We start from the raw sequence: 17484 nt of genomic DNA, 5'->3' as shown, positions 1-17484 counted from the left end.
TGAGGTTCAAACCTCTAGTACTGGTGATAAATACTAAGGGTATCTTTGATATTATTTCTCAGTTTTGAATTATAGGACCTAATCACTCGTGGAATATGAGTTTAGTCTGAATCTGCTGATTTGCAATATCTGTAGGACTGGTTTGGTGCTTGGGCAAGAGGAAATACCTAAGGGAGTCATCAATGTAGAGACGGTGCTTGAACTAAAGGAATGTGACAGAGATCAACCAAAGAGAGTAGAATAAGAAGACCAAGCAAAAGCAGACCCCTGGGAACACTCCAACTTAAGGAGTTACAGGAGGACACATCAGAGAAGGAGATGGGCTGAGCAGAACAGCGAAGTTACCCTCGAGTAAGTCAGGGGTTTCTAACACTGCCCAAGCATGAGTGGCTCTGGGAAATGCCCTTCTCAGGTAACATATTTGCCTTGTTAATGGATTACTTCCTTGTTTAACTTCACAATAATTCAGGTTCAAAGAAAACACTGTTAAGGCTAGATGCGTAATGAAAATGAAACAGCTGGGTGCAGTGGCATGCACCTGTAATCCCAGCTACTCAGTACACTCAGACAGGAGGATCATTTGACTCCAGGAGTTTGAGGCCAGCCTGGGCAATAGAGCAAGACCCCATCTCTCAAAAAATATTTTTAAATGAATTAAAATATAGAACAGTAACAATTTCCATTCATTGAGTGTCAATTATGTCAGGCCCTGTGCTAAACACTTTATGTATATTATTGTTACCCAACCTAAGCAGCCTTTATTTACATATAAATCCTACCCATGTATGCTTTGTATATTTTCATCACATTTAGCACCATTTTTATCCTTCTTTCAGTAAAAGAATTAGCATTATCTTGTGGATGCCAAATAACAATGATCTCCTCCCTAAGGAGGTCATCAGGTATCTTAAAATGACACACATTATCCCCTCACTGCTTTGAGGCAATGTCTACCGAAGTGAAACATTTTTCATCTTTACTATGAAATGCTTCAGTACTCATATGACACAGTCATTATAATATCCTTAACACGTGTATGTTACGTTCTCAATCTTAATAAAATGGGATAAGACATATAAAAGTGTATTTTTTTAAAAATGGTAAACAATGCCACCATTGTCAAATTTCTTCGCTATTGGTTTGGTCTTCAGAAATAAGTTGTGAATTCTAAGGGTAAAAGCTATGACTTCCTCTTCTTTTGTGTCCCCTACAGTGCTAGTAAACTGTAGGCCCTTCATTCATGTCTGCTAACTGAGTAGAAGAAAGAACTATCTGATGTCAATTTTATGTACAGTAAGGAAAAAGAGTAAAAATTATTTTTAGTTCTTTCCTCTTAGAAATCAGTGGATGCATGAAGAACAGGGCTTTCAGTGAGTTTAAAGATGGCTTTGAGGATAGCCACATGGCATCAGGCAGAGGACCTATAATCCTACCTACTTGCCTACCCGACCTATTCACCTACCTACAATCTTGTGGCTTAAACTGCACCCAATAGAGGACCTATAAACCCACCTACTTGCCTACCCGACCTACATTCCTATTCACCTACCTACAATCTTGTGGCTTAACCTGCACCCAATGAGGAAGCTGCTTCAACTCAGTCTCTGAGAACCCCTCCCAGGCATGTGCCCTGCCCCTCTTCCCACAATCCACCTAGTCACTTGATGTTGAGAGGACTCAGTGGGGCAGACCATTTGAAGGCTCATCTGTGTCTTGCCTAGAAGCTTCCAGTCCAGCAGGGGCTGCAACAATGGAAATGGAAACTAGGAGCTGGCTATCCTAAGTGGCCATGTGAACTGGAAGGTCCTTGCCTCTTTGCTGGAGGAATGGTGGCTTTCAGCATGGGCTGCAGAGTTGTATGGCATCTTGGAGCATTTATAGAAATTCTGATTGAAACAACCAGAGACAAGATGATGATAACAGGTCACAGAGATGCATGGAACACTCAGTTTAAGTCAGATAGAACTTAGGAGAGGTGCTTGGAAGAGTGAGTGTCCCACAGAGTCACAGTTCAAGTAACTTTGAGAGTGCAGTTTTTGTGTGCAATCAAGAGGTGTGCCCTCTCTTAGAGAGAAAAGACAAAAGATGTGAGAAATAGCTGTGTCTTTGAACTGGAATGTAGCTAAACGGAAAACTGGAAATAGCCAGGATTTCCAAGTTCCTGACCATTGTTTGAGCCAAACATTTCTGTATGTTGACTCATATGTTATCTAATGTTGGTGGGAGGGTAAAGGAGAGGGGGTCCATGGGAAGGGTCAAGGAGCATGAGGCCAAGGGGATGGTCTTTGGACAGGAAAGTAAAATAATCCCTTGGTGTTGACAACAGGAAGTTAATCCTTAGTGGCTCAAAGCACTTTGGGTTTCTCTTTGGCAGGTGCCTGACTCCCTGCAGACCTGCCCTCATGAGGCAGTCAGGTGGAATACCCCATACTGCAGTGCCTGAGGCCCGCTCTGCCCAAGACCACCACAGACAAACCGAGGAAGGAAGAGGATAATTACAGAGGTTCTGTGAGGTGAGTCAGAGCCACTGCCGGAGCTGCCCTTCTTTGTCCTCTGGGCCAGGGAGGTGCCGAAGCGGAGGGTCTCGTAGACAGGGTCCACCTTATTGCCACAGGCTGCAACAGAAGAGAAAGTTCATCTGAGGAAGCTCATCTGAGAGGACCCAGCCAACTGCCTACCACATCTCCTGGGTGAACAGCGCCTGAGAAGCAGGCTCTGTGCAGAGGAACTTAGCCTCTGGGTAGACAGGGCTTTCATGGCCAAGTGTTCCTCACAGATGCACCCCCACCCAGCATGCTCCCATTTGCAGGTCCTGCCATGTACCAGCTAGTACTCTGCTCCCGAATTCTTCCTGATTGAATTTCCTCTTTCGTTATTCCTCTCTGATTTCCAGGTTCTTGCAGGGATCAGCTTTATCTCCTCTACTGGGAGGCTGTGCTCACCAAGGTACAAAGACTTGAGACACAAAGTTTGCAGTAGGAGGCAACTGTTTTAGAAATAACTTGTCACTACTGGGCTTCATTAATTTCTAATTAAAAGCTTTCTAACTTATAAATTTCTAGTTTAAAACTTGCCCCCCCTAAAAAAAGCAAAAATAGATGTCGAGATTTTCAGAGAGAGAAAAAAAATAATAGAAGTAAACTGAAAGATATTGTTAGAGAAGAATCCAAGCCAAAGCTATCAATAAATAGAGGGCATCTTTTGATCTGCATTAGAGAATAATATATTCACTGAGCTCCTACTAAGCATGGGTGAATAACCTATATTTATTTTTTATAGCAATTATGAAAAGCAGCAATTGCTGTTCTCATTTTGTGGGGGTTGACAGGTCAAGTAACTTGTTCAAAGACACACAGTTGTCAATAGGGAGCTGGGCTTAGAGCCTGGTCTGGGGGAAGCCATTCTCCGTGTTCTTTCCACTCCACCATGCTGCTGATGGTGGAATTACTAATCAGTAGCCTTTGGGATTTAGGTGTTTTCTGAGCTTCATCAGGGAGAGGATGAAAATTCCTGGAGAATTTGGTCCACTTTATGTTTCCCTTCCAGCAAAACACACAGTCATACCCCAAATAGCCACCAAACAAACACACAGAGATACCCCACGGGTTTTGCAGCCATGGGAGGACAGTAGCCATTAATGTTAACTTTGCTGCTTCAAACTCAACTCAACCCATCAATGTCCCAACTCACCAATGGGCATAACTTCTTTAATGCAGCCAAACTGTTCATGAATGAGCAAGGGGGAGCTGTAGTAACGCCGAAACCCCTTTGGCTGGAGAGAGAATGAGGAAGGCAAGGGGTTAATGTCACTGGAGATGGAGAAAACCATACAAGAGCTCCCTAAATAAAACCAATTGGTTTCTCCAGGAGCACCCTCCTGTCTCCCATTAACATGCCGACTTATCCTATAATTCCACAATTTAATCCCAGCAGGGACACAGAGGCAGGGAGGAATAGTGGCAACTAGCAAGTTACACTCTATCCAGAAAACAAGGTCCTGGCCCTGGCCTCCCCAGTCGTGTCTGTCCTCCTCCTGCAGTGCACTGCAGCCTCCTTTGCATCCCAGATCCTCATTGCCTCCTGGATTACAAGTGGACTGCCACATATTATTTCACCACAGTTTGTTATTGTGGTTTGTTAAAATAATATAAATAAAAGGCCTGGGCATGGGTAAGTGGACCTCAGAGGGAGGCCTAAAAGCTCCTGTATATCTGAAGAGCTTTAGCCAGAATCATTTGCTCTGTAATCTGGATTCTATTCTCTGTTTTTCTGACCTCTCCTTCATGGTCTGTCTTGGCTTATGGGAATCACCACTGGAGAAGGAGAAGGGGAAGCAGGGGAGGCAGAGGTTTGAGAAAAGAGACATTGCAAATCAGAGTAAATAGATAAACTAAGAACCTGGACTTGACTGTACTCCATTACTGGATGGGAACTTGGTGGCCCAGTCCCTTCTAGAATTCCAGAATCCTGTCTAATGTTCCTGGAAAGTGGTGTCCCTTGTCGTTACACTGTCAGTGATGGGAGGGGGTGAAGGAGCATTCACTAACCCTGGAAGCAAGACATTATCTTTTATTGTTAAGACTTAGTATCCACTGATCTTAGGTCTTTCCCCAGGAGCCTCAAAGGACAATGGAGTTACTCTTCTAAATTTTAGGTCTAAAATTGTTGAAGACAGCTGTTGATGTCCTGTCTAATTATTCTCTAGGGTAGACATTCTTCGTCCTTTCTACAATTCTTTGGCCATCCTAGTTTCAAACACCCTCAAATGCGCTCTGGATTGCTTTTTGAAAAAAAATTTTTGAGACAGGTTCTCACTGTCACCCAAGCTAGAGTACAGTTGCGCAATAATGGCTTACTGAAACCTCTGCCTTCTGGGCTCAAGCGATCCTCTAATCTCAGCCTCCTGAGTAGCTGGAACTACAGGCACACACCACCACACTCAGCTAATTTTTAAATTTTTGTAGAGACAGGGTCATGCCATGTTGCCCAGGCTGGTCTCGAACTCCTGGGCTTAAGGGATCAACCCACCTTGGTGTCCAAAGTGTTGGGATTATAGGCGTGAGCCATTGTGCCTGGCTTGAATTGCCTCTTAATCAATATGTGGCACCAGGACTGAAGCCCATCCTCCTGAGATGGTATGATCAGCCATCTCAAGGGCCATTCAATCTCCCTTGGTTTGGGAGATTCTGTTAAAGTGGTGCAGATATTTATTACTCTCTCCTCTTTTGTGGGGGCTTAGCTCTTGTCCTCTCTTGCTACCCACTGAGCTGACCACCAAGGAAGCACTAGAGTGACCAACCATTAGTTTGCCTGGGACTTAGGGGGTTCCTGAGATGCATGACTTTCACTTTTAAAACCTGAACAGACCCAGGATGTGGGACTTTCAGTATTAAAACTGAGAAAGTGCCAACCTGGGAGAAGTTGGTCACTCTGTTAATGACCCTGACTCCCTTTCAAGGTGGGGCATTGTTGATTGGGTTGACAAAGCCCTTGTCCTTGTTTTCTGATTACGCCAATTAGGAAGCCAAGCTGGCAGCCAGTTCTGGGGTGCTTTGCTCAGGGTTTCAGGGAAGGATTTTGGAGGGGGTGATCTCACTGCAGCAGGCAAGTGCCCTAGCAGAGAGGTGTGGGCCTCACTCCTGGCACAAGCCCTTACCAGCTTGCCCATGCACCGCTGGGGTGCCAGGCCATCTGTGCACTTGTGGTGGATGCTCATCTTACAGGCTTTGCAGCGCAGTCCATGCTTAGCATTTGTTCCTGTCAGGTACATGGCAAACTTTGGTTAGGATACAACCTGCCATTTCCTGCTGATTAGTCTAAAATCACAGAAAATGAGGTTCCCCAGGTAATTCTTTCCTACAACTTTTTCATGAAGCTTTCAAAATAGAAAAAAAATATATATGGTAGATTCTTTTGCTTTCTCCTGCATTTTCTACCTAAGGTATACACTCTGGTTTATCTCCATCTTTCCTATTCACTACTCCAGGAACTCTAAGCCTCCTCCATGCCCTTTGTTCTCTCAATTCAAGCTAGTGAATTCCATTTTCTTTGCTTTTCATGTAGGTTACTCAATTCTACTTTTCTGTGTCTTACTGAGTAGTGCAAGTCCCGAAATTTGATGTATTTTCTTCTGTATTTCTATCACAGGAACTGAGCCGTTGGATAAATTCTCAGGAAAATGACTGATTAAGGGGGAAGGGCAGGTCTGTGTGAGAGTGGGGCTGACAGTCTTCTAAAGAAGGGGAGAGAGGACTCAATCAGATGCCAACCCCAGCCTGGGGAAAGAGGAAGAAGATGCGAATGATAATGAAATTGTGGCTGCGGTGAGTCACTTAGCTTCTTGGGACAGGGTGCTATCATGGAGTGAGAAGAAAGAAGGCTGAGAAGAAAAGGCAGAGAGCCATCCTGGTATCTTCATGCACAAAGGCCCAAGGCAGGAGCACTGGAGAGGAACTGGGAGGCCTAATAAGAGGGCAGGGTGTGGGGGCTTCAGGAAGATGGCAGGTGCTGCACACCGGTGTTCATTATTTCAGAAAGTGGCTGGATAAAGCTTAAGACGGATGTTAAAATGGGTGTGTTCTGCCTTCATCTAGTCACAGACAAGAGAATGCCATCTGCTCTGATATCCCAAAGTAAGATGGTAGGTTCCCAGGCAAGTCTCAAAAAGGTGCCAAAATGTATTTTTGCCACTCTTAGATGACCAAGCATCTCATGTATTAGAAAAGAGGAAGAAAGGTGAGGTAGTGGAGAGAGTATTTCTTTGCAGAGTTGTTGAGGCACTATCAGTCTTATCCCTCCTCCTTTACCATGATGAGAAGGATGGGGTGTGCTCTGTTGTCTCCTCAGTCCTGAGAGGGTTTCAAGGAGACTATTTTAACAGCTTGACCTATGTGAGTCTGTGGGACATATGGCTGTGGCCATACCCATTCTTGGAAAAAACTAAAAATAAGAGACGTGGGTGGCCAGGGGTCCTGTCAGCCTACTGAGGAGACAGCTGTGTGAACAAGGCCTGCACTCCAAAAGATTGTTAGGAAAAGGGTTGGTGAGTCCAACAAGTATGTGATTCTCATGGATCAGATATGGATTATGTAGAATGCTATGCAAGATGACAACCTGGAGAGACAACAGGATTTCAACAAAGTAAGTCTCTTTAGAGGGGAGATACAGGAATGAATATGTCCAGGTAGTATGAGACATGAAGTCAAGATACCCCACTGTACAGCACAGCCATCCACAGACCCAAAGTGAGGATGTCCCAAGATTACAAAATCCACCCTCTTCTCTACAATTGCTTCACCATCTAGCCAGTCTCACTGCTTCATCTCTTTTTGTCCTCCTCCAACTCAATGTGTGTGCAGTGGTGGGGTAATGTTTTAAAAATGTAATCAAATCATCTCTATTTCTTGCTTAAACATCTTTCAGCAGGTTCTCTCTGCCTTTCTGATGTATTATAAGGTGCTCATCATACTGGCGAGGCTCTGCAGGCTTTGGGAGCCCACCTTTAACTTAATCTCAGGCCAATCCCTCCATGCTTTAGCCATGTGGTCTTCTTATAGTTCCTTGAATACTCGAGCTCTTTAATTCCTCAGCTCTCTACACATGCTGCTTCATATGCTTGGAATGCTGTTTCCATCACTCTTCAGTTGGCTAGCAACCCCTCAGTCTGTGGATCTCTTGGCATTTCAATGAAGCTTTCTTGAAAACATTTCCCACCCCTGTCTAAATTATCCTTTTCCTCTTACTTTTTCTCCCAACACTCTGTGGTTATCTTTCACATCATTTATCACAATTATTATTTATTTGAAAGTTTGTTTTAGTCTGCCTTTCCCTCTGGACCATGAACTCAATGAGGCTAAGGACTGTGTCTGTTAATTTGCCTCGATATTCCCAGCTCTTGAGCATGATGCCTGATGAAAACATTTTTCATGGTCACTCATGAACTGAAGCAGTGGTGGCTGGTTTGAGATAATTCGTGGAAGTTGATTAATCAACGATGCATAAATAGTATTCAAGAGCTGAAAGGGGGAACTTGAAGATCTATTTGTATTATTTCATTTCAAAGATGAGATACCTAAGGGTCCAAGTGGTAGAAGATTTGCCCCAGGTTGGAGAAGGTCCTGCCTAGTTTCACTCTTTCATTGCTTGTCCTAAATATTTCCTCCTTTTATTTGGGTTGTTTAACCTACATGAAGATGACGTTGGGGCTAACTGGATGATAAAATAAGGGGGGGTAAGAACCTGGCATGCAACCTGGAAAAGCAACAGGCAAACCTCTGAATGAGAAAAGAGTTTAAAACCCTTCAGGAGGTATGTTACCTGAAAACTTTCTTCAGGATGGCATCATTTAACATGATGTGTGTCTGCTGTCATAATCACTTCACAGAAAGTTGAAGTGACACATAAACACACTATAAATTATTGGGCATGTATGCTTGTTTATAAATACTCATTGAAAAGTCCCTTTTCCTTTTTGAGAATAACTACTTAGCTGAAAGACTGCTATGTTTTTAAAAGACTGGACTTTGAAAGCAATTACTTACTTTTCGTTTTCAAATTAGAGAATGCTATTTGTGCTCTATGTGGGAATTTAAGTAAAAGCTTCAAAGAGGAAGTTATTTCATTGTGTGCTGGACTCTGAAATAGCATCATTATATGTTAAAATATATATATTTTATTCAGACCCAAACACCATGATTTCAGTTTCCTTGTCTGTTCTTATACATGTAGTACACTGTTTGTATGAACCAGACTACCAGCAATTATTTGGTTTCTGATGTTTCAATGTCCACTCTGGAATAACAAGAATGATTGAAGAGGAAAGCTTGTGTTCTGCAGCTCAGAGAATAGTTCAAAGGAATAATTCACATCACAGCAGTGGCATTAGTTTATTGTAGCAAGATATGGAGAAGCCATGGTCTGACTTGTTTTATCACTAGTGATCCCCATCACAAAGTCATTGCTGCAAGTGACCCTTATGCCTGAGTAGAGTAGGAAAAAACATAGTTTTAAATTTGAATCTGTCTCAGTCTGGCTCTTTAAATTTAAGAAAACTACTAGTATTTCTGGAACCTCAGCTAAATCATTAAATGGGACTAGTACTACCTACTCTCAGAGTTGCTAATAGAATAGTATGATAATTTATGCAAAAGGATTGCATGGGTTTAAATACCTGGAAACAAAGATGCCACTGAACTTTGGGTAAACAATGGTGGACTGTTCATATAAATTTCCCACTTAGTCCTACCAACACCCTACTAAAATTACAGTCCAGGAATTTAAAAACAAAGCATATACTCTGAAGAACAAAGTTATTGGGAGAAATAGCAAGAGTAGATGAGAGTTTAACATATATTTGGAAGATAAAAGGCAAGTGGAGATACGGTAAGCAACTTAATAGATGATAGGAAGATTGAATTTCTCAGTAGCAACTTGGAAACTAGAAGAAGATGAAATTTCAGAAGCTGTTAAAATTTTCTGAGAAAAAAAAAGATTTGCAACCCAGAATTTTATACCCAGCCAAATTATTAACATGTATGAAGGTAGAATAAAGATATTTTCCAATCTTGAGGGGTTCAGAATATTTACTTTACACATACGTTTTCTTAGGAAATTTCTAGAGAATATGACTCAGAAAAATGAGAGACTAAATCAAGACAGAGGAAAATATCAGATCCAGTACATAACAGAAGAACTGACAACTGACACTGAGGAAAGGTAAGCGGTATCCCACTATGATAACTCTGTAGTACCTGTACACTGGAGCGTCAAAAGAAGTAAGGCAGCAGACTTGGAAAAAAATAGCACTTAAAAGTTTATTGATAGCCAGACACAGTGGTTCATGTGTATAATCCCAGGACTTTGGGAGGCCAAGATGGGTGGAGGCCAGGAGTTTGAGGCCAGGAGTTAGAGACCAGTCTGGGCAACATGGTGAAACTCCATCTCTACTACAAATTCAAAAACTAGCCGGGTGCGGTGGTTCATGCCTGTAATCCCAGCACTTTGGGAAGCTGAGGTGGGCAGATCACTTGAGGTCAGGAGTTTGAAACCAGCCTGGCCAAAAAACCCATCTCTACTAAATATTCAAAAATTAGCCGGGCATCGTTACGTGTGCCTGTAGTCCCAGTTACTCGGGAGACTGAGGCATGAGAATCACTTGAACCCAGGAGACAGAGGCTGCAGTGAGCTGAGATTGTGCCACTGCACTCCTGCCTCAGTGACGGAGTGAGATTCCGTCTCAATAAAATAAGTAAATAAATAAATAAAAGTTTATTGATACCTTTGAGTATATGATATGTCATTTGACAAATCTGTGAAGGCATATGAAAAAAATAATTATAGATACATGAAATGTTTAGGAAGTAAAAAAGGCAATTTTTAATTTGAGGAAAAATAAAATATGTTTAAGATTGTAAGAAATGTACAATACTTGAATCAGAAGTTAACAATAGTCACAATAGGGCATAAATTGGCCATGTATCACAAAATTGTGATAAAACTCTTGGGAAGATGGAAGTAAGGGAGCAAAGATTGTGATATGACTCTTTGTGGAAGGTGACAACAAGGAAGAAAGAAACAAAGGGTGTTGCTGGAGATGTGAGAGCTCAACCCTCATCTTCTGTAGCAGGAGGCCAACAAAATCAATAAACAGCAGCAGAAGCACAGCATTTAGGAATGCTGAAATAAATGACAGAAGAAGCAATGAAAGAGGACAAAAGTGGTTGCCTTTCAGACGCGAATCTGGGACGAGACAGTTTCTGTTGTAGAACTTTCAGTACTATCTGCCTTTAAACTATTCTCATGAACTACTGTCACAAAAAGCAGATTAAAAAATGAAGTCTCTGGAAACAGGGTCAAGTCATCCCTTGGAATGATGTGGCTCTTTGGATACGGAGATGTTGCGAAAACATGGGGCTAGCTCATCACATAAGTCATCAGTTCTTCCCGGGGCATTTGAAGTTCTGGGCTAAATTAAAACAGTTTTATGAGTTACAGCTGAAAATTATTAAAAATTTTAGTCACGATGTTCAAATAGAGTTTGGAATGGATCAATGTAATCCAATACAACACTGATTAGGAGGTAGGCAGTGGGCTCTTTTATGAGCGTGGTATCATTTACCACTATGCTTAAGCAAGCTGTCCACAGAGAGCCAAATATTGGAGCACAAAGACATCTGTACATAAATGTTGGAAGAAAATATTGAAAAGCTTTTCTCAGTGCTGGTGGCTGAACCTACTACACTAAATAGCATGCATCAACTTTTTTTTTTTAAAAAATGAAATTAATTACATATATCTGTAAAATAATTGGCTGGACTCATTTTGATAAGATTTTGCCATTGAAGCATTGCTTAATCCTCAATCCAATTTCATAAATGTCAGAGTTAAAGATAAAACAGGATAAAATGGTGATTTACTATTGAGATTACTTAACTACAAAAATAATTTGGAGAATGAGTAAACATAAACTTGTATAAGAAAAGAAATGTAATCAGTACAGTACTTAGATCAACAATGAACAACAGTTAAAATTCTTGTTAATAATTAGTCTGCTTCCAGATTACACAAGTATAAAATTAGTCCTATAATTTATTTGATGAAATTAGTATAAATTAGAGAAAAAAGACTCTTTACTATGATTTAAGAAAAAATTTTTTAAAAATCTGTAACTACATATATAGAAATGTCCATAAATATTACTTAGATTATATAAAGTATCTATAAGTGATTCTAAGGTAAATACAGGCAAGATAGTCCAAAGAATTTCTAGGCCTCTGCTTTTCCAGGTTTAGCTATTGGACTCCTCTCAACGTCCACCAGTACAGGGGCATGGCTCGGAGAGGAGGCTGTGAGGGATGCCTGCATCAAAAGTTGTGCAGAGCCCAGAGAAGGTCAAATGATCATGTCACAGAAGGGTCTTAAAGCTGGAGAGAGGAGAGCAAAAGCAATGGATAATTTTCAGTGCCAAGGCAGACAAGAGGAATTTAAGGGCTAAGGATGATGCAAACAGTAATAATGATGACAGAGTCAGTACTTTTAAACTAAAGGCTATAACAAAACTGGTGCTAGACAATAAAAACAGGCCTAATAATGCAGTTAGCTCTATTCATCAGCGGTTTGTCCTTGAATATACACTAACACAAGGAAGAAACAGAATCACATGGAGATCACTGAAGCAGGTCTCCACCATGCAACCCCTCCCTACTTTCCTTGCTTCATTTTCAACATGAAACCTTGGGTTCCTCCTTTGCTTTATCAGATCATTTATGGTTTCTGGTAAGGGTGGCTGGGTCACGCCTCTTGAGGGCGGCTCATGCTGCCTTCCCTGCCTTTCTTGTTTGACTGGTAAACAGTCTTACTTTCTATGAACCACCTCTAAGTACTTTCCAAAGCCTCCTGCACACACACCCTCCTTCCCTCCACAGGGAACCCACCACTCTTCTCTGTCCCCTCATCGTTCTCAGAGCACCTATTACAACAGGACATCTCCTCTTCTATTATGTGGGACTTGACATGAAATGGTGGTTTCTTTACCTCTGGGTCCCTGTGGTCAGTGAAGTGCTTGGTACAAAGTACATCACTGTCCATCAGGAAAGATTAGCCTACCCAGGCCTGGGCAGGACAAATGTCCAGGCCAAGAGAATACTGGGGCTTCGCCCCTTTAATTCTATGGAAAGACATGGACTTCTTTACGTGGCCCCTGACTCCTGGAGGCCTGCATGACCACCAGGTTCAAGTCTGCCTACAGGTCTTTATGTATGGGCTTCCAGCTGGCTAGCCTTGCTTTTTATTCCAATGTTCTAATGTGACTGCATCTAGAACTCTCCAACCTCCCAGGTACCCTGAAGTGCAGGCCAGATACTGTTCCATCAGACTCCTGCCTGACCTAGGATGCTGGCTGAAAGCTGATTCTGGGAGCCACTCTCTCTGTCTCTGCTACTGGCTCTTCATATCCTCCTACTCTCCTCAAAGTAGATGTTGAAATCTATCTGGACAAGAACTAAGTTAGCTGTGCCTCTTGACCTTTATAATTTTGCTTGTGGACTTCTCTCCCTATTAATAGCTTGTGTTGGCCTCTGCCTCCTCCTTATAGAATGAGTTTTCACCATGCCTCCCCGGGTGACCCACGACAGCCTCTGTGAATGCTTAGTTATCCTGACAGATGCTTCAGATTTCTGTTACTGCTTTTACCTCACATATATAACCCAGAAATGCCTGCCATCATATACCTAAACACATGTAATAATAGGAGTGTGGAAGCATAACAATTTAGCCATAGTTTCATGTAGTGATTCAATGCAAAGGCAACTGACTAAACACATAAATAATGGCCTGAATGATCACATGTTTGGAATATTGAGTTCCACAATCAAAGGAATGCATAAATTATACATCCTTAGTGCCATTATTGAAATCTGTGGCTTCAAAATCTAAGAAATCACGATGATTTGAAGAAGTCAATGCTCCATAGTAGAATTAAAAAAAAAAATAACATGATGTATTTTCATTACTTTCACATGCTACTTCTCTTTGATGTGAAGTAATGATGTGGAGACAATTTCTAAGATTCTGAAATCACACAAAGCTAGCTAAACCAAATGAAGCCACTGAGCATGATTTTTCCCCTTCTCATATAGACAAAGGGTAATTTGAAAGAAAAAAAATGAATTGAGGAAAAAATCAAACTAAGTTTGAAAGAGTTTGTCAGTGGATATACAAACACACATGCGTGCGCGCGCGCACACACACACACACGAGAAAAGCCATTGTATGAGAAGTCAGAAACTTGAATTTTCATCCTGATTCTACTTTTTTACTTCTGTATTCTTACATTTGAATAGGAAGGAAAAAAGGTAGGAAGGGATTAAAAATGATTGAACTCTTATGCACCATTAGGCAATTTCCTGGATGCTTCCTCGCTTTATTAATAAAAGAACATTACCTTTTATAGTTAAAATATTATTATAACAGGGAAGTAGGGATAATAGATAACTTCATTGGAAAGAATGAATAAATGTTGAGTTGGGATGGGTATATAATTCACTGGCTGTGGAGCTCATATTGAAACTTTTCTCTCCTCTTATGATCTCAGCAGTCTGTGTGGCATTTCCATTGCTTTATTTTTATAGGTTGTGTATGAAGGCCCAACAATATGCAGCTAGTGAGGACAGGAACAGGACTAGGGTCTGGGTCTACACAACTCTGAAGCCCAGCTCACTTCCCTTCTCCTCATTGCCTCTGCCAGCCATCTGCACGCTGAGAGATCTCTACTCTGTTCTGGTCTAGATTTCTTCCACTGAAAGTGAAAGGGCATCTGTGGGTCTCTCAACACTGTCTATGATAAAGATAAAATTAAAATATGTATATGTAACCATGGTCAATGAGGATGAAGTTGAGAGAGAAGTAGCAAGAGTTTGCAGGTGCCAAAAGTTTACCTTAGAAGATTCTGGGGCTGCAACTATCCTGGCCCAATACCCTCTTTGGAAGGGACATTTGTCTCTTTGGAAGAGAAATGTGATTCTCATCACATTTGTGATGGGTTACATATGGGGTCTCATAGTTGACAAATGTGAACAGGAATTTTCAGGGTGGCCAGCTGCTGTAGGGATGTGGGTACCCATAATAGATTCCTATAAGGTTCTACAGCCCACTATATATACTACAGCCCAGTATAGGCCTTTGAAAATATGTAGCATGCACACGCTATTGCTAAGCCCTCCAAGCTGGTGATTACATACACTATCACTAACATATTAGAAGTTAAAGGTGCAGATGCAGTAGCCAATGTAAGTGTATGCTGCTCTTTCTAGTTTTGTCACACACCTACCTATTCAGGGGCTTATTTTTGTTTTTTAAAATGATATTGATGAAAGTCCTTATTTAATAAAAACAATGTTCTCGGCTTTGTTGATTCTTTTAAAAGCTTCGAAGAGTGAAGCCAGGGTGACGAAGTTCAAATGTAGGAATACAGAAGTAAAAAAAGTAGGATAACAGTTTTACCAATTTTTAAAACCTCTATGTATAAATTATATTATATTTGGGTGTTCATATGTGAATATGTATGTGTATGTACATACATATATAGTTTATAAAGACACCATGGCGGAGTGGTAAAAGTCATGCTTAAGGCATCAACAAACTTAGGTAATAGTATTCAGCTCTGAGACTTTGAACCAGGCACTTGATCTCTGAGCCTCAGTCTGTGCATCTGAGAAAGGCTGTCATGAGCACAAAATGGGAAAATGAAGGGGCCGTCTCTTTGGAAAACATACATCTCCATGCAAAAGTAAGTGGTGTGATGGCTAGAGGGTGTATCATCTGCAATTCCCCATAGTGATTTTCCTGAGGTCATGATTTCCAGATTCTTTAGGCTGAACTGCACATAGCTAACTCAGGTATGTCACCTGTGATCAGGCATGACCTCAGATAAAGCACAGGCTATATGGTTTGCCTGTGCCCCCACCCAAATCTCAACTTGAATTGTATCTCCCAGAATTCCCATGTGTTGTGGGAAGGACCCAGGGGGAGGTAATTGAATCATGCAGCCGGTCTTTCCTGTGCTATTCTTGTGATAGTGAATAAGTCTCATGAGATCTGATGGGTTTATCAGGGGTTTCTGCTTTGGCTTCCTCCTCATTTTCTCTTGTTGCTGCCATGTAAGAAGTGCCTTTTGCCTCCCGCCATGATTCTGAGGCTTCTCCAGCCATGTGGAACTATAAGTCCAATTAAATCTCTTTTTGTTTCCAGTTTCAGGTATGTCTTTATCAGCAGCATGAAAACAGACTAATACAGTAAATTGGTACCAGTAGAGTGGGGCATTGCTGAAAAGATACCTGAAAATGTGGGAGTGACTTTGGAACTGCATAATAGGCAGAGGCTGGAACAGTTTGGAGGGCTCAGAAGAAGACAAGAAAAGGTGGGAAAGTTTGGAACTTCCTAAAGACTTGTTGAATGGCTTTGCCCAAAATGCTGATAGCGATATGGATAATAAGATCCAGGCTGAGGTGGTCTCAGGTGGAGATGAGGAACTTGTTGGGAACTGGAGCAAAGGTGACTTTTGTTATGTTTTAGCAAAGAGACTGGGTGGCATTTTGCCCCTGCCCTAGAGATCTGTGGAACTTTGAGCTTGAGAAAGATGATTTAGGGTATCTGGTGGAAGAAGTTTCTAAGCAGCAAAGCATTCAAGAGGTGACTTGGGTGCTGTTAAAAGCATTCAGTTTTAAAAGGGAAACAGCATCAAAGTTCAGAAAATGTGCAGCCGCACTATGCTATAGAAAAGAAAAACCCATTTTCTGGGGAGAAATTCAAGCTGGCTGTTGAAATTTGCTTAAGTAGCAAGGATCCCAGTGTTAATTCCCAAGACCATGGGGAAAATGTCTCCAGGGCATATCAGAGGTCTTCATGGCAGCCCCTCCCATCACAGGCCTGGAGGCACAGGAAGAAGAAGTGGTTTCGTGGGCCGGGCCCAGGGCCCCCACGCTAGGGACTTGGTGCCCTGTGTCCCAGTCACTCCAGCCATGGCTGAAAGGGGCCAATGTAGAGCTTGGGCTGTGGTTTCAGAGGGTGGAAGCCCCAAGCCGTGGCAGCTTCTATGTGGTGTTGAGCCTGTGGGTGCACAGAAGTCAAGAACTGAGGTTTGGGAACCTCCGCCTAGATTTCAGAAGATGTAGGGAAACGCCTGGATGTGCAGGCAAAAGTTTGCTGCAGGGGCGGGGCCCTTATGGAGAACCTCAGCCAGGGCAATGCAGAAGGGAAATGTGGGGTGGGAGACCCCACACAGAGTCCCACACAGAGTCCCTACTGGGGCACTGCCTAGTGGAGCTGTGAGAAGAGGGCCACCATCCTCAAGACTCCAGAATGGTAGATCCACTGACAGCTTGCACCGTGTGCCTGGAAAAGTAGCAGACACTGAATGCCAGCCTATGAAAGCAGCTGGGAGGGAGGGTGTACTCTGCATACCCACAGGGGCAGAGCTGCCCAAGACCATGGGAACCCACCTCTTGCATCAGCATGGCCTGGATATGAGACTTGGAGTCAAAGGAGATCATTTTGGAGCTTTAAAATTTGACAGCCCCACTGAATTTTGGACTTGCATGGGCCCTTAACTCCTTTGTTTTGGCCAATTTCTCCCATCTGGAACAGCTATATTTACCTAACACCTGTACCCCCATTATAGGAAGTAACTAGCTCCCTTTTGATTTTACAGGCTCATAGGCGGAAGGGACTTGCCTTGTCTCAGATGAGACTTTGAACTGTGGACTTTTGGGTTAATGCTGAAATGAGTGAAGACTTTGGGGGACTGTTGGGAAAGCATGATTGGTTTTGAAATGTGAGGACATGAGATTTGGAAGGGGTTAGGGGTGGAATGATATGGTTTGGCTGTGCTCACATCCAAATCTCAACTTGAATTGTATCTCCCAGAATTCCCATGTGTTGTGGGAGGGACCAAGTGGGAGGTAATTGAAACATGGGGGCTGGTCTTTCTCT

The 17484-nt window shown here is 42.3% G+C and overlaps 1 protein-coding gene across 10 annotated transcripts in view; it reads right to left on the bottom strand.

The window, feature by feature from the left end:
- The window catches only part of STAC (SH3 and cysteine rich domain), a 167504-nt gene that overhangs the window by 59259 nt on the left and 90761 nt on the right, over positions 1-17484 (bottom strand). For 6 of the 10 annotated variants that reach the window (XM_047448767.1, NM_003149.3, XM_011534037.4 and 3 more), the window contains 3 exons: positions 5657-5757; positions 3691-3772; positions 2500-2615 (listed from right to left, as the gene is read on the bottom strand). In XM_047448767.1, coding sequence (XP_047304723.1) covers positions 2500-2615; positions 3691-3772; positions 5657-5757 — 299 coding nt within the window. Of the gene's footprint in view, positions 1-2499; positions 2616-2823; positions 2987-3690; positions 3773-5656; positions 5758-17484 lie in introns of those variants that run through there. The other 4 variants (NM_001292049.2, XM_047448770.1, XR_940496.3 and 1 more) reach the window with 3 other exon arrangements.

This window comes from Homo sapiens, chromosome 3 (assembly GCF_000001405.40).
Source record: "Homo sapiens chromosome 3, GRCh38.p14 Primary Assembly".
NCBI lineage: Eukaryota > Metazoa > Chordata > Mammalia > Primates > Hominidae > Homo > Homo sapiens.
Note: the sequence above shows the minus strand (reverse complement) of the source record. Positions and strands in the feature narration are given on the sequence as shown.